General features: G+C 51.0%; 1 protein-coding gene and 1 long non-coding RNA gene across 4 annotated transcripts, besides 7 other annotated features; both read right to left on the bottom strand.

Annotated features, from left to right (window-relative positions):
- Positions 1-792: 792 nt before the first annotated feature.
- On the bottom strand, positions 793-9,084 carry AP5S1 (adaptor related protein complex 5 subunit sigma 1). Of its 3 annotated transcripts, none has more exons than NM_001204446.2 (3): positions 8,777-9,084; positions 7,338-7,529; positions 793-5,760 (listed from the first exon to the last, which is right to left on the bottom strand). In NM_001204446.2, exons 2-3 carry the CDS (start codon positions 7,511-7,513, stop codon positions 5,334-5,336), a joined length of 603 nt encoding a protein of 200 aa, NP_001191375.1. In that variant the 5' UTR covers positions 7,514-7,529; positions 8,777-9,084; the 3' UTR covers positions 793-5,333. The 3 variants fall into 3 exon arrangements, with proteins under 3 accessions (NP_001191375.1, NP_060817.1, NP_001191376.1); NM_018347.3 differs by having other exon boundaries at positions 8,873-9,084; NM_001204447.2 differs by having other exon boundaries at positions 8,929-9,084.
- Positions 8,581-9,284: an enhancer, noted in NCBI's record as "H3K27ac hESC enhancer chr20:3800994-3801697 (GRCh37/hg19 assembly coordinates)". NCBI's record gives its function as "activates a minimal SCP1, AML or CMV promoter by ChIP-STARR-seq in primed H9 embryonic stem cells {active_cell/tissue: H9 hESC(primed)}" and the evidence as "EXISTENCE:reporter gene assay evidence [ECO:0000049][PMID:30033119]".
- Positions 8,701-9,040: an enhancer, noted in NCBI's record as "active region_17486". NCBI's record gives its function as "activates an Ori minimal core promoter by ATAC-STARR-seq in GM12878 lymphoblastoid cells {active_cell/tissue: GM12878}" and the evidence as "EXISTENCE:reporter gene assay evidence [ECO:0000049][PMID:35858748]".
- Positions 9,281-9,560: a silencer, noted in NCBI's record as "silent region_12631". NCBI's record gives its function as "represses an Ori minimal core promoter by ATAC-STARR-seq in GM12878 lymphoblastoid cells {active_cell/tissue: GM12878}" and the evidence as "EXISTENCE:reporter gene assay evidence [ECO:0000049][PMID:35858748]".
- Positions 17,115-18,174: an enhancer, noted in NCBI's record as "nonconserved acetylation island sequence 110". NCBI's record gives its function as "activates a minimal heat-shock promoter by reporter assays in Jurkat T cells {active_cell/tissue: Jurkat}" and the evidence as "EXISTENCE:reporter gene assay evidence [ECO:0000049][PMID:17135569]".
- Positions 17,115-18,482: a biological region, named in NCBI's record as "P300/CBP strongly-dependent group 1 enhancer GRCh37_chr20:3791796-3792995".
- Positions 17,163-17,712: an enhancer, noted in NCBI's record as "H3K27ac-H3K4me1 hESC enhancer chr20:3792566-3793115 (GRCh37/hg19 assembly coordinates)". NCBI's record gives its function as "activates a minimal SCP1, AML or CMV promoter by ChIP-STARR-seq in naive H9 embryonic stem cells {active_cell/tissue: H9 hESC(naive)}" and the evidence as "EXISTENCE:reporter gene assay evidence [ECO:0000049][PMID:30033119]".
- Positions 17,197-21,137, bottom strand: LINC01730 (long intergenic non-protein coding RNA 1730). Its single transcript, NR_109859.1, has 4 exons — positions 21,029-21,137; positions 19,617-19,734; positions 17,890-18,101; positions 17,197-17,463 (listed from the first exon to the last, which is right to left on the bottom strand). It is a non-coding gene; the product is annotated as a long intergenic non-protein coding RNA 1730 (long non-coding RNA).
- Positions 17,283-18,482: an enhancer, noted in NCBI's record as "P300/CBP strongly-dependent group 1 enhancer chr20:3791796-3792995 (GRCh37/hg19 assembly coordinates)". NCBI's record gives its function as "activates an origin of replication core promoter dependent on BRD2, BRD4, P300/CBP, MED14 and CDK7 cofactors, with strong dependence on P300/CBP, by STARR-seq in HCT116 cells {active_cell/tissue: HCT116}" and the evidence as "EXISTENCE:reporter gene assay evidence [ECO:0000049][PMID:35650434]".

Below are 21,229 nucleotides of genomic sequence, written 5' to 3'. Positions count from 1 at the left end.
CTCTACGTCATGTTATTAGGGAACTGCAAATTAAAACAAGATTTCACTACATACCTATTAGAATGGCCAAAAGCCAGCCGGGTGCAGAGGCTCATGCCTGTAATCCCAGCACTCTGGGAGGCTGAAGCAGGCAGATGACTTCAGGTCAGGAGTTTGAGACCAGCCTGGCCAATATGGTGAAACCCTCTCTCTTCTAAAAATACAAAAATCAGCCAGGCGCGGTGGCGTGTGCCTGTAGTCCCAGCTATTCAGGAGGCTGAGGCAGAAGAATGGTTTGAACCCGGGAGGCGGAGGTCGCAGTGAGTGGAGATTGTGCCACTGCACTCCAGCCTGGATGACAGAGCGAGACTCTGTCTCAGAAAAAAAAAAAAAAAAATCAGCCAGGCGTGGTGGCACACGCCTGTAATCCCAGCTACTCGGGAAGCTGAGGCAGGAGAATTGCTTGAACCTGGGCAGTCAAGGTTGCAGTGAGGCGAGATAGTGCCACTGCACTCCAGTCTGGATGACAAAGGACACTCCGTCTCAGGAAAAAAAAAAAAAAAAAGAATGGGCCAAAACCAAAACAGTGACGAAACCAAATGTTTCAGAGGATGTAGAGCAACAGAAACCCTCATTAACTGCCAACAGGAATGCAAAATGGTACAGCCACTTTTGAAGACAGTTTGGCAGTTTCTTACAAAATGAAACATACTCTTACCACAGAATCCAGGACTCATATTCCTTGGTATTTATGAGTATTTATACTCCCAAAGGAGTTGAAAACTTATGTTCACACAAAAACCTGTACACAAATGTTTGTAGCAGTTGTATTCATAATTGCCAAAACTTGGAAGCAACCAAGATGTCCTTCAGTAGGTGAACAGATAATGTACATCCACATAATGGAATACTATTCAGCAGTACTTCCAAAATGAGCTGTCAAGCTCATGATTCAGCCATGAAAAGACTTGAAGGAATCTTAAATGTACATTACTAAGTGAAGGAAGTCAATCTGAAAAGGCTACATATACAGTATGAATCTAACTACACAACATTCTGGAAAAGGCAAAACTATGGAAGCAGTAAAAGGATCAATGGTTGCTAGGGGTTGAGGGGAGGGAAGAATGAACAGGTGCAGCAGAGGACTGTTCGGGCAGGGAAACTCTTCTGTATGATACTATAATGGTAGATGCATGTCACTGAAAATACATCCAAACCTATAGAATGTACCACCCCAAGAGTGAACCCTAATGTAAACTATGGACTCTGGTGATAGTGACGTGTCAATGAAGGTCCATCAGTTGTAACAAATGACCACTCTGGTGCCCAGTGTTGGTGATAAGGGAGGCTGTGCATGTGTGGGGACAGGGAGTAAATGAGAACTCTCTGTACCCTCTGCTCAGTTTTACTGTGAACCTAAAATTGCACTAAACAAATAAAGTATATTTAAGAAAACGGTCACGGCCACTTGAATTGCAGTAATAAACATACAGAGACTTGGTTAACGGGTCACAGAGTATTGAATCTGACAAACACGGTTAACTGCATTACAATAAAATATAGGAATAATTGTTTAAAAGAAAAGATTGAGGCCAGGCATGGTGGCTCACACCTGTAATCTCAGCACTTTGGGAGGCCAATATGGGTGGATCACCTGAGGTAAGGAGTTCGAGACCAGCCTGGCCAACACGGTGAAACCCTGTCTCTACTAAAGATACAAAAATTAGCCAGGCATGGTGGCACATGCTTGTAATCCCAGCTACTTGGGAGGCTGAGGCGGTAGAATTGCTTGAACCCAGGAGGCAGAGGTTGCAGTGAGCCAAGATTGCACCACTGCACTCCAGCCTGAGCAACAGAGTGAGACTCCATCTCAAAAAAAAAAAAAAAAGAAAAAGAAAAGAAAACATTGAGCCCTGGGGGGATGCTGGACAGTGCGCAGCACCACAGGGCTAGAAAAAAACACCCTGCCCTAAAGGAGACAAGATGATCCAATCCCATCCCAGGGCTCACATACATGCAGTGTATGTGACCCAATCAGTGACCCACATACATGCAGGCCAGTTCCTGCCTTAAAACCTGTGACTTCATGCCAGTCAGTCGTGGTGGCTCACGCCTATAATCCCGGTACTTTGAGAGGCCACGGCGGGCGGATCACAAGGTCAGGAGATGTAGACCAACCTGGCTAACACGGTGAAACCCCGTCTCTACTAAAAATAGAAAAACTTAACCGGACGTGGTGGCAGGCACCTGTAGTCCCAGCTACTTGGGAGGCTGAGACAGAATGGCGTGAATCTGGGAGGCGGAGCTTGCAATGAGCCGAGATTGCGCCACTGCACTCCAGCCTGGGCAACAAAGAGAAACTCCGCCTAAAACAAAACAAAACAAAACCTGTGACTTCTTCCTCCTTCCAGGTAAGCTCTCTTCTCTGGGCTCTACTGCCCTCCTGTCATCATCTGTTGTCCCAGGAGTGTTTGTGGAGGTACACTGGTAACACTACTAGCTGCTCAAAGTCTCTAGTTCTCTCAAGAAGCTGAGGGATATGTGGTTTGGCCAGGGTTCCTGGGGCAGGGAGAAGAAAGGGAAGAGGCTTGGAGAGGGAGGCAAGTTTGCTTCCATAGCCATCTCACTTTTAGTTCTAAATCCTGGCTCCTTCACTTGGCCTTCGTCACTGAAGTGCCCCTTCTTCCTTTAGGTGTTTAAAGCACTTGTGAGCAGCAATTCAGGGATGCTCAAACCATTGCTGCTTTGCAGTCATCTGCAGTCACCTGGCCTTAGCTCTGTCTCTCCTGGAACTTTGGGGTCATTCTGTATCCTGCATTGCACCCAGCAGAGCATCAGGCCCAAGGGAGGCTCGATAAATATATGGTGAGCATAAATTGTGGTGGAAACCCAGCCCAAGAGGCTGGGGCAGAAGTGTGAAGTGTGGGAAGGGTGCTGGGCAAGCTCATCTGGTTAAGAAAACCCTGGTCCAGCTGGACAGGAACTGGAGCTCAGCAGCCCCACGGTGTGGTCTCAGTCTCTACTATTCTCTTGTCCATCAGTTTGCCCCACCTCATGAGAACCAGGCCACCAGCCACGCCTAACCTCAACTTCCCACAGCTCCCAGGGGAGCAGAGTCTCAACCTCTTCCTTAAGTTCCGTTTGAAAAAAAGGCAGAAAGAATTCAGATCAGTAAGCTTGAGCCTTTCCATAGAGGACAAAATGGCCTGTTCCCTGAGAACACAGCCAATCCACCAGGACCGCCAGCCTGGGGTGAGGGGTGGGCCAGGAGAACAGAATGTATAGGGAAGGGGTGTCCCTACTAGAGGCCTGTGGGACATTTCCACTGGTGGGACTTGGCCACACACACAGAGTAACATCCCTTTAGGTCTTCATGGTCAAGGTGGTTTGTGGCACCATAAAATGGAAAAGGTGGCCTCATCCCAATTATGTTGACAGTGGTGGTAGAAGGCCTGGCATGGCTGGTGGCCTTGGCCATGGACTTGGAAGGGCTAATCATCAGTGCTGCCTCCAAAGTGGGTGTAGTTGGGTCCATCCTGGATGCTAAAGGGCAACTGATGGATGGCAAGCATGAGAGCTGAGCACCTAGGAGGCTCGTTCTGCCAAGAAAGCCTCACCTTCCTTGGTAACAGGAAGATCATGAAAATCAATGTAAACTGAAGTGGTTTTTCCCCCACCCCCCGCCCCCAACTGAGTAAGTTTAAACCTTCACTAGAAGCTGCTGATTGAAGACCTCCTAACCACCGACTTTTGGTACCCCACCCATATCCCTTTGGGACTCAACATGGTGCAGGCAGGCCCAGCTCCACATTGCCTGAAGGCTTTTTCTCAGGGGCAGAAAGAGCCAGGGAATGTATGCACCCTGGGATCAACCTGTAACCACTGACTAAAGGCAGTAGGCAAACACCCACAGCCGCCACCTCTCAGGTGAGGTAATTCAGAGGCAACTGCTGTGTGCAGCCCCCTAGAGGCACTCAGCTCCCTACCACAGTCCTAATAGGCTTGACAAGCATTCACGAGGACTGTGTCCCCTTCCTGCTTCCCGGGATCACCGCCCACCCCACATAAACCACTCGCACCAATTCTCAGCCCAAGCACTGCTTCTCAGACGGCTCTGCCACAGCCACCTGCCACCTGTGACATATACTTTGGTGGAGAAATGTGTGCCACCATCCAAAGGAGGCCTCTAAGGAGACAGAGGTGAGGTGGGGATGAGAGATGGAGGCATCCCAAGAAGCCTCCTAGGGGGATCCTTGACCACGAAAGCTCAGACACGCAGCTTTGGGGCCATCCAGAGAGGCACTCACTCATAGGAGCAGGATGCACGCATCAAACTCACAGAAAGAGGGTAAAATCACACAGCCAGTGCTTTTAATTCAAAACGAAAAATATGTCATCCAGGCTAGACTGCTCACATTCATCTGACAGCAACTTCTCTCCCTGCAGATGAGGGAAGGCTGTGATGACTTTATCTCGAGCCTGCCTGGTGGGAACGGGCTTGGCACAAAAGGAGCTGCAGAATCCTGCTGCTGATTGGCAGATGCATTTCTGAACTCAGCGGGGGCTGGACACTGAGCAGGACCTTGTTGATAATACTGCCTAAGTGGGCACAAAGCCAGGGGCTGTGGCCTGCCAGCATGCAGGCACAGCTCCTCCACCCTCAGGGGAGTCTGAGACCCCTTTTGTGTTTCGATGACTGTGGGATTTTTTTTTTTTTTTTGAGATGGAGTCTCACTCTGTTGCCCAGGCTGGAGTGAAGTGGCGCACTCTCGGCTCACTGCAAACTCTGCCTCCCAGGTTCAAGTGATTCCCATGACTCAGCCCCCTGAGCAGCTAGGATTACAGGTGGGCGCCATACACCCAGCTAATTTTTGTATTTTTAGTAGAGATGGGGTTTCACTATGTTGGCCAGGCTGGTCTTGAACTCCCGACCTGAGGTGGTCCAACCACCTCAGCCCCGCAAAGTGCTGGGATTACAGGCGTGAGCCACCGCGCCTGGCCTTGACTGTGGGTTTGGAAGAAGAGCGGGGTGAGCTCCAGGCAGCTCCTCACCCTAGCACTATCGGCTGGCAGGGATGGAGGAAGGTGGGTTCAAGGACAAGCGTGGCTGCCGCACGGCAGCGGTCTAAGTAACACAGCAGCTCTAGGCTCAGGAAGTTCTGTGGTTCCACTAACCTGAGGACAGGCAGGACCTCCTCCACCCTCTGCCCAGCCCCCTTTCTGCAGGCTTGTGTCACCCACTTGTCCTGGTATAGCAGCACATCAGAGCTGCTGGGTAGGAGGGAGATGCCAAGCTTCATCTGGCTGTGTGTCTACCCTCTGCCTGCCCTCAGAAGCACCATCCCAACGAGGAATCAGCGGGGCCAAGCGGCACTGAATTCCTTCTCCAGGCCTTGGACAAACTGGTCGTTGAGGAAAAGCAGCTGACCATGTGGCAGGAAGCGGGTGAGGATGCCCTCAATGCGGTCAGCCCGCAGCAGAAGGCTGGTGCTGGGCGCCAGCAGCCGGAGGTGGTCAAGGAGGAGGCGTGTCAGCAGCCGGAGCGTGCCCTCAGCCAGTAGCAGGTTCTCATGGGCATCCAGCACCAGGGCAAAGCCTAACGAGAGCACGCCCAGCCACACCACCGTCCGTGGCTCCTGGAAAGGGTTCTCTGCTGCCAGGCGGAAAGCCCCACGTGGGGCCTCGTGCAGCGGCACTTGCTCATCTGAGGATTGCGGCTGCAGGTCCATGGGGGGCCGGCCAGATGCCTGCTGCTGCAGCCGACACATTGACTCTACCTGCCTGGGGAGAGTGGGCAGGTCAGGCTGGTGGGCTCACACACCAACTCTGTCATCCTCATGATCAACCCTGGTGCTGGGAGCTACCATCATCCCCATATCTCAAGTGAGAAAACTGAGGCCTAGAGAGACTAAGTGATCTGCCCAGGGCCACAGAATCAGGAAGTGTGAGCCTCCAGGTCCTGAACCACTTTATTCCATGTGGCCAAGAGGGCAGGTTTTCAACCCAGCTCCTTGGGCTGAAAAAGGGCACCAGAGGAAGAAGATCCTGCCCTCACCTGCTTCACAGAGGCCTTCTCCACATAAAGGAAAGGGAAGCGGCTTGGCCAGGCGCGGTGGCTCAAGCCTGTAATCCCAGCACTTTGGGAGGCCGAGGCGGGCGGATCACGAGGTCAGGAGATCGAGACCATCCTGGCTAACATAGTGAAACCCCGTCTCTACTAAAAATATTTAAAAAAATTAGCCAGGCGTGGTGGCGGGCGCCTGTAGTCCCAGCTACTCGGGAGGCTGAGGCAGGAGAATGGCATGAACCCAGGAGGCGGAGGTTGCAGTGAGCCAAGATTGCGCCACTGCACTCCAGCCTGGGCGACAGAGCAAGACTCCATCTCAAAAAAAGGAAAGGGATGAGGCAGAAAATAAACGCCATCACCCAACGTGGGCAGTCCAATCTCCACCCTATCCTGCAACCCTCTCCAAATATGAAAGAAAGACCTTCCATTGGACCAACAAGGCTTCTTAGAAGCTCCCTTTGATCTTTCCTGAATCACCTTCCAGTCTGAGCCACGCACAGGCTGGTTTTAAAGGCATGTATTTGGTTTTCTGAGCTACAGGGAGGGGAAGGAGAATAAGAAGAACAAGGGAAAGGCAGGAGTTGGCAGAAGGTTGCCCCAGAGTGGTGCTACCCCACCCAGAATGCGGAGGTCCAGGAGGCTCCAGCACCTACCAGTTCTGGCTGGGTCTGAGAGGGGAAGAGCCAAGGCTAGCCACCCTAGTCTGGAACAGTATATTCCAAACTGTGATCTGGATCCCTGGCTTTCTGGAGTCCTCATGTACCACATCCTCTCTCTTCGTTAGAAATTCATAAAGTCTACAGGCACACTAAAGGCCCTGTTAAGTACTGCACTGAAAAGCATGTTTAATCTGTACTGTCTGCCTGCCTACTCTCAAATCTTAGTTCTGCTACTTTCTAGCTATGTAACCTTGGACAGGTTAAATTCCTCAAACACTCTATACCTCAGTTTACTCATCTATAAGGTGGAGATAATAACTATACCTACCTCAAAAGACTATTATGAGGATTAAATGAGTTAATATATATAAGATGTTCAGAATATAAATGCTTAGCACTTACAGGCTGAACAAATGCTAATTATACTAATAATGATAACAGAATTATTATTTATTTAACCCTTTTCACGTAACACTTATGAAAAGCTGTGGAAGACTCTCTGGGAAATGCTACTCTAAAACTTCCTCTCTGCTTCTTAGTCCTCCTATTTCTCTGCGTCCCCACTCCCCGAAAATACCTATTACAATCAGGTACGTGTTCAATGAAGGCCTGGGGCTGGGCTGTGTGGTTACCTGGCCACAGCTAAAATCTGTTCCTTCCGGAGAAGCCTGTCCCTCTCGGCACCATGCGGCCGTGGGTCATCAGGTGACTTCTCAGCACCGAAGACGCAGGAGTACAGCACTCGGCAAAGGCCCGTGTCCTCAGTATTCGGGGCCCTCAAGGTGTGAATGAGGAAGGCGTGGACCATGGCTCCAGGGTGGGTGCTACAGGGAAGCCAGAGACATTGGTAAGGTGAGAGTGAACCCCAGCAGGAGAGGCGACCACAGGAAGGGGCTGACCTGGCAGTGTCTGGGAGTGTATCCAGAGGCCAGTGAGGCTGAACACTTTGAATAACAGCATCTGAACAACATCACATAACAGAATCCAGTGATAAAAAATCTCAGACATACATAAGCAGAATAGGCATAAACTAAAAAAAAAAAAAAAGAAAAAAGAAAAACAAACAAACAAACAAAAAAAATCTCAGACCACCCTAAACCTAGTTCTACAAAACAACAGGTATCTTCAAAAGCGTCAAGGTCATGCGGTCATGGAAAACCTGAGGAGCTGCTCCAGACCGAAGGAGACTGAAGAGACCAGATAGCTGAATGCGACGTGTACTCCTGGATCGGGTCCTGGACCAAGAAAAGGGTAATTTGGGCCAGGTGTGGTGACTCACGCCTGTAATCCCAGCACCTTGGGAGGTCTAGGTGGGCGGATCACTTGAGGTCAGGAGTTCCAGACCAGCCTGCCAACATGGTGAAACCTCATCTCTACTAAAAATAAATTAGCCGGGCATGGTGGCGCATGGTTGTAACCCCAGCTACTTGAGAGGCTGAAGCCACAGAATCGCTTGAACCCGGGAGGGGAGGCTGCAGTGAGCCGAGATCGCACCACTGCACTTCAGCCTGGGCGACAGAGGGAAACTCTTGTCTCAAAAAAAAAGAAAGAAAAACAAAAGGATAATTTCCATAAAGGGCATTATTAGGACACTAATAAAAACTTTAAAAACATTTCAATATGGACTATGGGTCAGAAAAAGTCTTGACCAATGTTACCCGATTTTGAATGCAGGAGCTCGTCCTTGTTTTTAGAAAATAAACACGGATGGGCCTCTAAATATAGAGGAAACAGGATTTCATATCTGCAACTAACTCACTTGGTCCAGGGAAGAAAAAAGGCAGAGAGAAAAACAGAGGAAATAATAAGGTAAATGGGGCAAATGAGGTTACAACTTGTGAATCTCATCCAAGTGCATACAGGAGTTACCTGAAACTGTTTCAAAATAGAAACTAAATAATAGTAATGGTTATCTGGCTGGCTCAGTGGCCGGCCCGGGGGTTGAAAGGCGGCGGGTACACAGTCAGTGGGTATCTGTAGCTAAGGCTAAACAGACCGTCAGTTTAAACTGGTAAAATAGCAGGTTCGCAAAGGCACTTCGAGAACCGGAGCCCAGCACCCAATTGCTGACCTCCGCAACCCTCCAGCCGCCAGCAGAGCGCGTCATCACTCCGCGCCGCCGCGTCCCGCCTCTACTAGAGAAATGGTAGCGGTCAAGACAGCTTACGTCACTGCCTCCGTAACCTTGAGGCGCAAGGCACTTCGGGGGTTGTAGTTTCTTACTCCGGTCAGCCAGGCCTAAATGGGGCACCCCGCCCTGAATGTGTTGCCCCTGCAGCTCCGGTCCGCTGTCGTCGAGGCGTCGCCTCAGCCTTCCGTCCGGGCCCGCGGACTGCCACCAAGCGCTCCCCTCCGTGGCAGGAGAGCAATGGCGGCTGCGCGGCCCGTGGGCGCCTGCGCACGTCGGTCGCGGGCGCGCGCGCCAGCTGACGCCGTCGGGTTGGGCGGAGCGCTCATGTCCAGCGCGGTGCTGCAGCAGCCAGGTGCTGGCGGCATATCCCGATGCTTGGACCCTCGGCGTGGGCTGGCCTTGCAGTCAAAACCCTCCGGCCCCGAGCTGCCGGCAGGGACCATGCTGGTCACTCTCGCTGCGGGCTCGAAGCGTCCCCCGCTCGTTGCCCTAGATCAGCGGAGCCCCAGGCTGCCGACCCCGGCGGCCGCGAGGGGGCGCCGCGGCTCGGAGCGCGGAGTCTGCGGAAAAGGCCGGGGCCTAGTTGTCCCCGGAGGGCGGGGCGCGTCGCCTGCGGCCTTAGGAGGCTCCGGGACGGGCGGCGGGTGGACCTAGGCCGGGCCGCGCAGCTACGGGCTGCGGCTGAGTTCTTATCTAGCCAACATGCGTGAGAATCACTGGGGCACCAGTTCAAATGTACATTCCTGGGCTGTACCCCCGGAAATTATGACTTTGGAGGGAAATATGTGTATTTAGGCACATGGGTATTTTGCGCGGATTTTAAATACAAATATGTGTATTTTGCGCAGATTCTGAATTTGTGGGTTCCTGCAGCGGTTTAATGCTGTCACTCGGTTCGGCGCAGAACGATTCGAACGCTGCTTCTGGACTCTCAGTGTGTGTCCCTGGCAGATCTGTCAATTTCATTGGGCCCCAGTAAAACCTTGTAGAGTGTCGCCCAGGGCGAACGCTTAGTAGGGCTGACCAGCAAGCCCCCTTCTTGACTGGAGGCCATCAAAACAACAGGGAAGAGGTTTATACCTTAAACCTGAAAGGGGCACTCTGGCGCTAACCCCTATAGAGCCTTACGTAAAAGCCCCAACTTGGAGGCTTGGCCCATTGGTGTTTGGGGGCCCCACAAGGCCTGCCTGGGCCTCACTGCCTGACTTGCATGTGTTCCTCCAGCCACCACCACCACTACCACCCCCACCGCGACCATGAAGCTGCACCTCCTTTACCTCTTGGCATGTGAATGGCTTCAGCCTTGTCCCCCAAATGTGCCTCGGAGCCTCCCCCACTGACTGTTCCCCCAGCCTAGAATTCCCTTTCCCGGCTTTTTTTTTTTTTTTTTTTTTTTTTGCAGCCTCGCTGCCCGCTCCCATCAGCAATGCTCCTACCTCAGCCCCCCAAGTAGCTGGGACTATAGGCAGGCAACACATCCAGCTACTTTAAATTTTTTTGTAGAGTTAGCGTCTCACTGTATTGCCCAGGCTGGTCTTGAACTCTGGGCTCAAGTGATCCTCCCGCTTCTCCCCCACAAATTGCTAGGATTACAGGCGTGAGTCTCCACGCCTGGCCTTTCCTGTCCTTTTAATTGACCTTGTAGATATATACTCAGACAAAATGGGAGGAAGCCTTCCTGCTCAGGCTGCCCGTTGGCATTCAGCTGCGGCCTTTGCACCCCTGTGAATCAGGTCTCACCAATAGTGCTGATGGCTTCCATCTCCACTCCCCAGGGCCATGCACAACACAGGACTGGAGCCGGCTTGAACACGCTCTTTGGTGACAAGAAAGGAGAACAGGGTAGGGTGGCCCAGGCAGGGATCCTAGAGCCAGCACCCCCTGAGAAAGTGCACTCTGGGCCCCTTAAGCCATAGGACCCAGGATAGGTTAGGAGGTGACTGAAGGGAAGCTGCAGGTGGCCAGGGCCTGGCCAAAGCATGTGACAACACGTAAATGTGTGTGCAGGTGTTGCGGCAAGCCCAGAGACTGTGGGGCCTCAGCTACGAGGCTGGGGAGTGATGTTGGCACAGCTCCTGGTCCCCAGTCCCTATTGCTCTCAGCCAGGGCTGGTGTCTGCCAGCTGATTACAGCAGAGAGCTAGCAAGGAGAGGGCTCTGGTTGCTGGGGGCCACCTGGCATCTGGAACACAGTTTCCCAGCCTCTGTCCACTCCTCAGGCAGTGAGTCAACACCAAGTTTCTGACCACTAGAGGGCTGGCCTCATGTGAGGTGTGTGGAGGAGACAGCTGTGGGAGGCTGGCTTGAGCTACTACTCCCAGAGGACAGTGGGAGACCCAGATGGAGGTGACAGCATGGAGGGCTTCCTCAGCCTACTGGGAGTGGGGGTTTTGCTTGATGGTTTTGCTGGAGGCTGCTTGTGGGTGTGCCCTGGGAGATCCCTTTTCCTTGGCCACTGGGCTCTCCTGGGTCCAACCCATGCTTCTGAGAGTCTGTTCTGGGTACATTGGGAATGTCTATGCCTGCTAGCTCAGACATCATCTAAAACAGCAAGCCCAGCAGTGGCTACTCATGCTGACCTCACTGCTCCATGACCCAGCAGCGCCACTCTTGATGTGTACCTGAGTGAAATAAGGGCTGTTGTTCACCAAAAGACACAAATAGAATATTCATAGTATCTTTGCTCTTTTTTTTTTTTTTTTTTTTTTTTTGAGATGGAGTCTTGCTCTTGTCACCCAGGCTGGAGTGCAGTGGCACGATCTCGGCTCACTGCAACCTTTGCCTCCTGGATTCAAGCGATTCTCCTGCCTTAGCCTCCCGAGTAGCTGGGGTTACAGGCACCTGCCACCACGTCTGTCTAATTTTTGTATTTTCATTAGAGACGGGGTTTCGCCATGTTGGCCAGGCTGGTCTCGAACTCCTGGCCTCATGAACTCCTGCCCGCCTTGGCCTCCCAAAGTGCTGGGATTACAGGCATGAGCCACCGCCCCTGGCCAGTATCTTTACTCTTAATTGTCCCAAACTGGAAACTACCCAAATATCCATCAGTTATGGAATGATGGATAAATTGTGGTATACTCGTACAGTGGAATAGTATAGGGCAATGGAAAAGAACAACTACTGATACACAACATGAGTGACTCTCACAGACACAATGTTCAGTGAAAGAAGCCAGTCACAGAAGTGTACATGCCATGTGACTCCATTAACATAAAAGGTCCAAATCTAGGCAAGCCATGCTGCACTGTTACAAGTCAGAATGGTGGTTATCCCAGGGAGGCAATGACTGGAGAGGCATGGAGCTTTAGGAGATGGTCACATTCCAAGTCTTGATCTGGGTGGTGATTACATGAGTATATTCTCTTTGTAAGTATTAACCAAGCTGGACACTTAAGATATATGCACTTTTCTATATACTAAATTCAATTAAAACCTTAACAATGGCTGTGACAATTCCACTAAAACGATTTTACTTTGAAGTCTGCCTTTAAACTGGAAGATAAGAATGGGATAGCCGGGCGCAGTGGCTCACGCTTGTAATCCCAGCACTTTGGGAGGCCGAGGAGGGTGGATCACGAGGTCAGGAGATCGAGACCACGGTGAAACCCCGTCTCTACTAAAAATACAAAAAATTAGCCGGGCGTGGTGGCGGGCGCCTGTAGTCCCAGCTACTCGGAAAGGCTGAGGCAGGAGAATGGTGTGAACCCGGGAGGAGGAGCTTGCAGTGAGCCGAGATCGCGCCACTGCCCTCCAGCCTGGGTGACAGAGCGAGACTCGTCTCAAAAAAAAAAAAAAAAAAAGGAATGTGATAGAATCCTTCCCCTGCCCCAAGGCTTGAATTCTGGCAGGGTTGAGGTTTTTAGCATGAGAAGAAATTTAGAGCATAGCCTTTCATTTAACAGATAACTAAGTGGGCTCAGAGATGCTCCCTGATGTGGCCAGTGTCTCACAGCATGGTGCCAAGTGGAAGGCACCGGGGACATGAGCTCTGCTCCCTGGAGCAGCCACCATGGAAGTAAGAGAGGTCGGGGGAGGACTGTACGTGGAGGGAGGACTTGAACAAGATCGCAAAGGATGGAGATGGCCTAAAAGTGAGAACACACCATTCATTTGTGTGCTCATCCACTCATTCTGCTGGGAAAATCCTCTGGGTGCTTAGAGTTCCCATCAGGCTCTGTGCAGACAGGTGCAATGGCCAAGGCAAGTAGGAGTCAAGATGGCCAACAGATTCAGAAGTGGGGAGGACTCTGGAGGAGCAATCTGGCAAGACTGTGTGGAGGAGGGAGCATCTGAACTGGGCTTTCTGGAGAGGTAGGAGTTCAGTAGCTGCAGATGGCAGGAAGGGCATTCTGGATATAAGGACTAGATCAGAGCAAATACAAAGGGTGAAAAGAAGCCAGCCTTCCCAGACTCAGGGTCCCCTGGCCCTCCTTTATTTAGAGGACATGAGTCCAATCAGAAATGCATCTGCATCCTCCCCAGCCGGTGGGGCACTGTAGGAGCCACCTGGGTGAGGCCTCAGGAAAGTCATTGTTTTCCAAATAAGGGGGGCAGACTCAGTGCCATTCTCTGACTTTTTGTGACCCCAGGGCCAAAAGCTGTGTGCTGAGAACAGTGAGGCAGGAAGGAGCCTCGGCCCCAGAGATGCTGCAGAGTCTACTTGTTGAGTGAGGTGTACAGACATTTATGTGGTTAAACCGCTGAGTGGGGTTTCTGTTACATGCAACTTAACGCCCTCCTAAGTGAGGCAGCATGTGAAGTGGACAGGGTAGAGCCTGGCACCTAGTAGGCACTCTATACATCAATAAATGTTGACCACCGTTAATCCAGCGGCAGACAGGGGAAGGTATCAGAGAGGACTTGATCAGCACCAGAAAAAACAGGTGGGGCAGCTCAGAGGTGAGGGGGGACCAGCAGGACATCCTGTGGTTGCCAGACCTGCCCTGAAGACGAAACAGAAGAGTCTGAGTGTGCTGCGGCCATGTGTGTGCATGTTCATGTGTGTGAGGCTTTTTATTTTATTTTTTAGATAGTCTTGCTCTGTCACCCAAGCTGGAGTGCAATGGCGTGATCTTGGTTCACTGCAACCTCTGCCTCCCCGGTTCAAGCAATTCTCCTGCCTTAGCCTCCTGAGTAGCTGGGATTACAGGCACCTGCCACCACACCCAGCTAATTTTTATAATTTTAGTATAGATGGGGTTTCACCATGTTGGCCAGGCTGGTCTCGAACTCCTGACCTCAAGTGATCCACTCGCCTTGGCCCCCCAAATCGCTGGGATTACAGGCATGAGCCACTGTGCCCAGCCATGTGTGAGGCTTTTACAGGAGTTAGCCCAGGGCTTGTGGCAGAGCTGGGCACCCAGTGGCTGCAGATGTGGGATTGTGTGTTTGTGTGTGCCAGAGAAAATGAAAAGGAAGAAAGATAAAGCACTACCAAAAAAACAAACAAACAAACAAACAAAAAACCTAGAGGAGCTTGAAGGCAACAGGTGGCTGGATTTGTGACCCAGCCCACCTACCTAGAGGGGCCACGTCTCCCTCGTTCTTTCCCTTACCCTCCCTCTGACTGTGGGCAGAGGCGCCCATCGCCACACCCCCCAACCCTGCTTTTCTCAGTGGTCCTCCAAGTTGGGGGGTTGCCCACAGCCACTCCCTGCCTCCTCACATTGGCCCCTTTCCCACCTTCCCACCCGCCTGCCTTCCACTTTCTATTCACATAGGGTGGGGCCTGCCCCCACAATAGAGGCAGCCTGGCTTGCCTTTTTGTTTGTTTTTTGAGGCAGGGTCTCTTTCTGACCCCTAGGCTGGAGTGCAATGGCGCAGTCCCGGCTCACTGCAACCTCAACTTCCTGGACTCAAGCAATATTCCTGCCTCAGTCTCCTGAATAGCTGGGACTACAGTTGCACCCCACAACACCTGGCTAGTTTTAAAAAAATTTTGCCGGGCGCGGTGGCTCACGCCTGTAATCCCAGCTCTTTGGGAGGCCGAGGCGGGCGGATTACAAGGTCAGGAGGTCGAGAACACGGTGAAACCCCGTCTCTACTAAAAATACAAAAACTTAGCCGGGCGCGGTGGCGGGCGCCTGTAGTCCCAGCTACTTGGGAGGCTGAGGCAGAAGAATGGTGTGAACCTGGGAGGCGGAGCTTGCAGTGAGCCGAGATTGCGCCACTGCACTCCAGCCTGGGCGACAGACCGAGACTCTGTCTCAAAAAAAAAAAAATTTACAGAGACAAAGTCTCGCTATGTTGCCCAGGCTGGTCTCAAACTCCTGACCTCAAGTAATCCTCCAGCCTTGGCCTCCCAAAGTGCTGGGATTACAGGTGAGCCACCACGCCCAGCCAGGGCTTGCCTTTTGGAGCTCCACTGGTGCCCAGCTGGAAACTCATTGATGTGATTTATTTATTTATTTATTTATTTATTTATTTATTTATTTATTTATTTTTGCGATGGAGTCTTGTTATGTTGCCCAGGGTGGAGTGTAGTGGCTATTCACAAACATGATGATCATGATGATAGCGCCCTACGGCTTTGAACTCCTGGGCTCAAGCTATCCTCCTACCTCACTTTGTCTAGTAGCTGGGACTAGAGGCACTTACCACCATACCCAGCCACATTGATGATCTTTACAGAAACTGAGACTTCAAGCTAGACCAGCAACCACCTACTTCTGGATGTGGGGAGAGCAATTAGGTAGAATCTGCTAGCCCCAGGCAGTGGGAATTTTTTTTTTTTTTTTTTTTTTTTGAGACAGGGTCTTGCTCTGTCGCCCACGCTGGAGTGCAATGGCGTGATTTTGGCTCACTGCAACCTCTGTTTCCTGGGCTTGAGCCAACTTTGCACCTCAGCCTTCAGAGCAGAGTAGCTGGGACCACAGGCACGTGCCATTACGTCTGGCTAATTTTTGTATTTTTTGTAGAGACGGGGTTTCACCGTGTTGCTCAGCTGGTCTCAAACTCCTGAACTAAAGGGATCTGTCCGCCTTGGCCTCCCAAAGTGCTGGGATTATAGGCGTGAGCCACTGTGCCCAGCCAGCAGTGGATTTTTTAATGCCTCTCTGATAAGAGTGTTTAGTCATTTCTCAAAGATCAAAGCAGGAAACTAAGAAGAAAAGGGAATATGCTTTTCTGCAAATCAAGGTGGACTGAAATTCGGTGGATTATGGCTGCCCTAGAATAAAGGAGGCCAAAGTCGGGCAATGTCTGTCTCTTCCTTTCTTCTACCTCCCTGGACCCTCTCAGACACAGCAGCACTCTGTGTTGGGAGCCTCCCATTGGGCACTCAGACAGCTCTCCCATCTTCTGTCTCCACCAAACCTCCATTGGCAGCTTCCTAACTGCTACCTGTACTGCTGCATAGGCTGCTGCTTCCTACACACCACAGCTGGGCTTTGCTTATTTTGTTACAGACAGGGTCTTGCTCTATTGCCCAGGCTGGAGCAAGCAAAGTGGTGCAATCCTAGCTCAGCAGCCTGAACTCCTGGGCTCCAGTGATCCTCCCACTTCAGCCTCCCAAGTAGCTGGAATTACAGGCACGTGCTACACCCAGCTAATTTTTAAATCATTTCTTTGTACAGACAGGGTGTTGCTTTGTTGCCCAGGCTGGTCACCAACCCCTGGGCTCAAGCAATCCACCCGTTTTGGCCTCCCTGTTACCGGTGGGAGCCACTGCGACCTGCCAAGCTGGGCTTTTCTCCTGTGACCCATCACCTAGAATCTTGTCCATGTGCAGAAAGAAAAGGAAACCTTCAGACTGGCTCCTTTAATTAAATGTTTTCAGGCATGTCCTTTTAACCTTTCTGATCTCCTGTCAATCCCTACATTGGCTCTAAGCAATAATGGCCATAGCAGCCTCTTGTATGGCACTTGCTGTGGATGTCCTTGTTCTTTTTTTTTTTTTTTTTTTGAGACAGAGTCTTGCTCTGTCGCCCAGGCTGGAGTGCAGTGGGACGATCTTGGCTCACTGCAAGCTCTGCCTCCTGGGTTCACGCCATTCTCCTGCCTCAGCCTCCTGAGTAGCTGGGACTACAGGCGCCCACCACCACGCCCGGCTAATTTTTTTGTATTTTTAGTAGAGACGGCGTTTCACTGCGTTAGCCAGGATGGTCCCGATCTCCTGACCTCGTGATCCGCCCGCCTCGGCCTCCCAAAGAGCTGGGATTACAGGCGTGAGCCCCCACGCCCGGCCGCCCTTGTTCTTTTTTGAAACAGAATCTTCCTATGTTGCCCAGGCTGGTCTCCAACTCCTGGCTTTAAGTGGTCTTCTCAGCTTGGCCTCCCAAAGCACTGGGATGCCAGGCATGAGCCACTGCACCCGATCAGCAGGCCCTGTTCTGAGTGCTTTGCACACATCAGCTCATTTGATCTAATCCACAGCCCTGTGAAGTAGGAGCTTTATTATTCCCATTTTACACATGAGGAAATAGAGGCCCAGTGGGATTCAGCAACTATTCTGATGTGACACATGTGTCCTTGGAGGTGTACATATCAGTAGATTTCAGCCTCTACTGAAATCTTCTACTGAAGCCTTCTACTCCCCTTGTGTTTCCCTGTCTCCCCCGGTCCTCTTGTAGTCATCCCAAGGGCTGGCTTAGCTCTCTTCTCCTGGAGCTCTGGAAGGCCATAGCATCCCTGCAAACCCATCCCTGCTCATCCTCCATGACCCAACCCTGAGAGCTCCCTCCCCGCCCTATGCTTGGATGACCTCCTTCCCCAGTGCTCCCAATCCCGACCCAGGAGGCACCCTCCCCTCAGCCATCCTTCAGGAACATAGTCTTGGCTGGGCCCCAGGAGGACCAGGCCATGTGTGATTTGTCCTTTCAAACAGCCGCACTGCCTGCAGGGCTGAGAGCCAGGAGGCCCCACGAGGCAGAGGAGGCCCAGCCACGTGAGGCCCCTCCCTTCCTGCTGCCCCAGGCCCCGCTGACTCAGAGCCTGGCAGTCCTCCCAGGGTTCTGCGTGCCAGTAAGCGCTGGGTGGGGCCAAGGCAACCCTCGCTGCGCCCCTTGGCACCCACACAGACTCCTCCTGTGTGGGGAGGGTGGGAACGCTTCTTACCTTCCGTCCCATAATCAACTGTCTTCTTTGAACAATAGATTGTGAATAATTTCACATCCCGGAACATTCTCTCTCCAGGCATGATTTTCGTGGCTGCAAAACAGCGGCTTCTCCATCATTACGCAACTGGCCTCTCTGATCGTTTCCAGATTGCTCTCGGCCATGCACCTCCTTGTCTAAACTCCGTTCTGCACCACCAGCAGTATCATGGCCTGGGGAGAAGGGGCTGTGTGCTCCATTCCAGGATCAAGACTTTGTAGAAATCATGTTTTCTAGATGGTTGTGGGCTGTTGTCAGCAGAAGGACTCAAGGCAATTAACATACAGCTAATGAACTCCAAAGAGGCGCTTTGATTTTTGAAGAATCTGACTTGAGAACAAATCAAGACTAAGACTAATATAGCCTCATCTTTCAACATAGGAGAGTCGGAAAACAGGCTGAGTCTGCGACACCCAAATGCCTGCCACCACCACATCCCGGTATGTGGGTTCAGCACTTGACAGCTAACAGATCTCTTTGCTAGATACAGCAATCACATTTTCTGGTTAAGGGAGTGAAATTAACATTTACCTTTTTTTTTTTTTTTTTTGAGACAGAGTCTCGCTCTGTGTCCCAGGCTAGAGTGCAGTGGCGTGATCTCGGCTCACTGCAAGCTCTGCCTCCTGGGTTCACGCCATTCTCCTGCCTCAGCCTCCCGAGTAGCTGGGACTACAGGCGCCCACCACCAGGCCTAGCTATTTATTTTTTTGTCTTTTTAGTAGAGGTGGGGTTTCACCGTGTTAGCCAGGATGGTCTTGATCTCCTGACCTGGTGACCTGCCCACCTAGGCCTCCCAAAGTGCTGGGATTACAGGCGTGAGCCACCGTGCCTGGCCTTTTGTTTTTGTTTTTGTTTTGTTTGGAGACAGAGTCTCACTGTGTCGCCCAGGCTGGAGTGCAGTGGAGCAATCTCGGCTCACTGCAAACTTCCCCTCCTGGGTTCAAGGGATTCTTGAGCCTCAGCCTCCTGAGTAGCTAGGACTACAGGCGTGCGCCACCACATCAGGCTAATTTTTGTATTTTTAGTAGAGATGGGGTTTCACCATGTTGGCCAGGCTGGTCTTGAATTCCTGGCATCAAGTGATCTGCCCGCCTCGGCCTCCCAAAGTGCTGGGATTACAGGCGTGAGCCACCGCGCCCAGCAACATTTACCAATTTTGATGAGAATGTGGAACACTAGAACTCTGGGACGCTGTGGGTGGGAAGGTAACGTGGTGCAAGGACCTTGGACAACTATGTGGAAAATACTAAAGTTAAATGTACACACGGTAACCCAGCACTCCACTCCTGGGTATGTTTCCAGCAGTTTGTAACAGGCCCAAATAATCCATCGAGGATAGGATGATTATGTTCTATATCACAACTGTGGTGGGGGTTACACAACTGTATATATTTCCCCAAACTCACAGAACTGTACACTCAAAAGGGGAAATTTTAGCACTAACTTTGGCAGCACATATAATAAAAAAGGGAAAACTTAATTTTACTGCATGTAAGTTTTTCTTTTTAATTTTGAAACAAGCCAGGAGCAGTGGCTCATGCCTGTAATCCCAGCACTTTGGGAGGCCAAGGCAGGAGGATTGCTTGAGCTCAGGAATTCAAGTCCAGCCTGGACAACACGGCAAGATCCTGTCTCTACAAAAAAAAAAAAAAGGAAAAGAAAAATTAGCTGAGTGTGGTGGCACGTACCTGTGGTCCCAGCTACTCGGGAGGCCAAGATGGGAGGATCACTTGAGCCCAGAACGTCAAGCCTGCAGTGAGCCACGTTTGTGCCACCGCACTCCAGCCTCAGCAACAAAATGAGACCCTGTCTCAAAAAAAAAAGAAAAAAAGAAAAAAGAAAAAAAAATTCAGCCTGGGCAACATGGTGAAACCTCATCTCTATAAAAAAAAAAAACACAAAAAATATTAGCTGTGGTGGCATGCACTGATAGTCCCAGCTACTGGGGAGGCTGAAGTGGGAGGATCGCTTGAGCCTGGAAGGTGGAGGTTGCAGTGAGCTGAGATCACGCCACCACACTCCAGCCTAAGCAATAGAGCCAGACCTTATCTTGAAAGAAATAAAAATAAGTAAATAAATAATATATATATATATATATATATATTTTTTTTTGAGAAGGAGTTTCACTCTTGTTGCCCAGGCTGGAGTGCAATGCTGCGATCTCGGCTCACTGCACCTCCACCTCCAGGTTCAAGTGATCTCCTGTCTTAGCCTCCCAAGTAGCTGGGATTACAAGTGCGCCACCACACACGGCTAATTTGATTTTAGTAGAGACAGGGATCACCATGTTGGTCAGGCTGGCACGAACTCCTGACTTTAGGTGATCTGCCTGCCTTGGCCTCCCAAAATGCTGGGATTATAGGCGTGAGCCACCGTGCCTGGCCATAAATAAATATTTTTTAAAAGATAAGAGAAAGAGAGCGCGTGGTAACTCACGCCCGTAATCCCAACACTTTGGGAGGCCAAGGTGAGTGGATCATGAGGTCAGGAGTTCGAGACCAGCCTGGCCAACATTGTGAAACCCCATCTCTACTAAAAATACAAAAAATTAGCTGGGTGTGGTGGTGGGCGCCTATAATCTCAGGTACTTGGGAGGCTGAGGCAGGAGAATTGCTTGAATCCGGGAGTTGGAGGTTGCAGTGAGCCGAGATCATGCCATTGCACTCCAGCCCAGGCGACAGTGTGAGACTCCGTCTCAAAAAAAAAAAAAAAATTAGCTGGGTGTGGTGGCAGGGGCCTGGAATCCCAGCTAATTGGGAGGCTGAGGCAGGAGAATTGCTTGAACCTGGAAGGCGGAGGTTGCAGTGGACTGAGATCGTGCCATTGCACTCCAGCCTGGGCAACAAGAGCAAAACTCCACCTCAAAAAAAAAAAAAAAAAAAGAAGAAAGAGAGTAGGGGTATATTCATACAGTGGAATAGTATGCAGCAATGAAGAAGAAACAAACTCCTGCTACACAGGACAAAATAATGAATCTCAAAATCATTGTGCTGGGTGAAAGAAGCCAGACAAAAGAGTACTGACTGTATAATTTCATTTATAGGAAGCTCATGAACAGATAAAACTAAATTACTGTGACAGAGGTCAAAATAGTAGTTACCTCTGGAGTGGGGGTAACCCGGAGGGAGCCTCCTGAATTGATGGAGATGTCCTACATCTTGAGCTTTGTGGTGGTCCCTTGGGTCTACGCTCCATGCTGAAGATCTGTGCCCTTGATGAAATGTCAATTATTCCTCAATTTTAAAAGAAAACCTTAATTTGTAAAATTGTCATGGCAAAAGTTACCGGGTGAACAATTCAG

The sequence above is a fragment of the Homo sapiens genome, chromosome 20, assembly GCF_000001405.40.
Source record: "Homo sapiens chromosome 20, GRCh38.p14 Primary Assembly".
Taxonomy (NCBI): Eukaryota; Metazoa; Chordata; class Mammalia; order Primates; family Hominidae; genus Homo; species Homo sapiens.
Note: the sequence above shows the minus strand (reverse complement) of the source record. Positions and strands in the feature narration are given on the sequence as shown.

Excerpts from the sequence above, each read along its gene's own strand:
- AP5S1 (NM_001204446.2), bottom strand. The coding sequence starts at position 7,513 with ATGGTCCACGCCTTCCTCATTCACACCTTGAGGGCCCCGAATACTGAG. Across the intron at positions 5,761-7,337 it reads CAGATTTTAGCTGTGGCCAG|GCAGGTAGAGTCAATGTGTC; the intron begins GTAACCACACAG and ends CACTCTCCCCAG.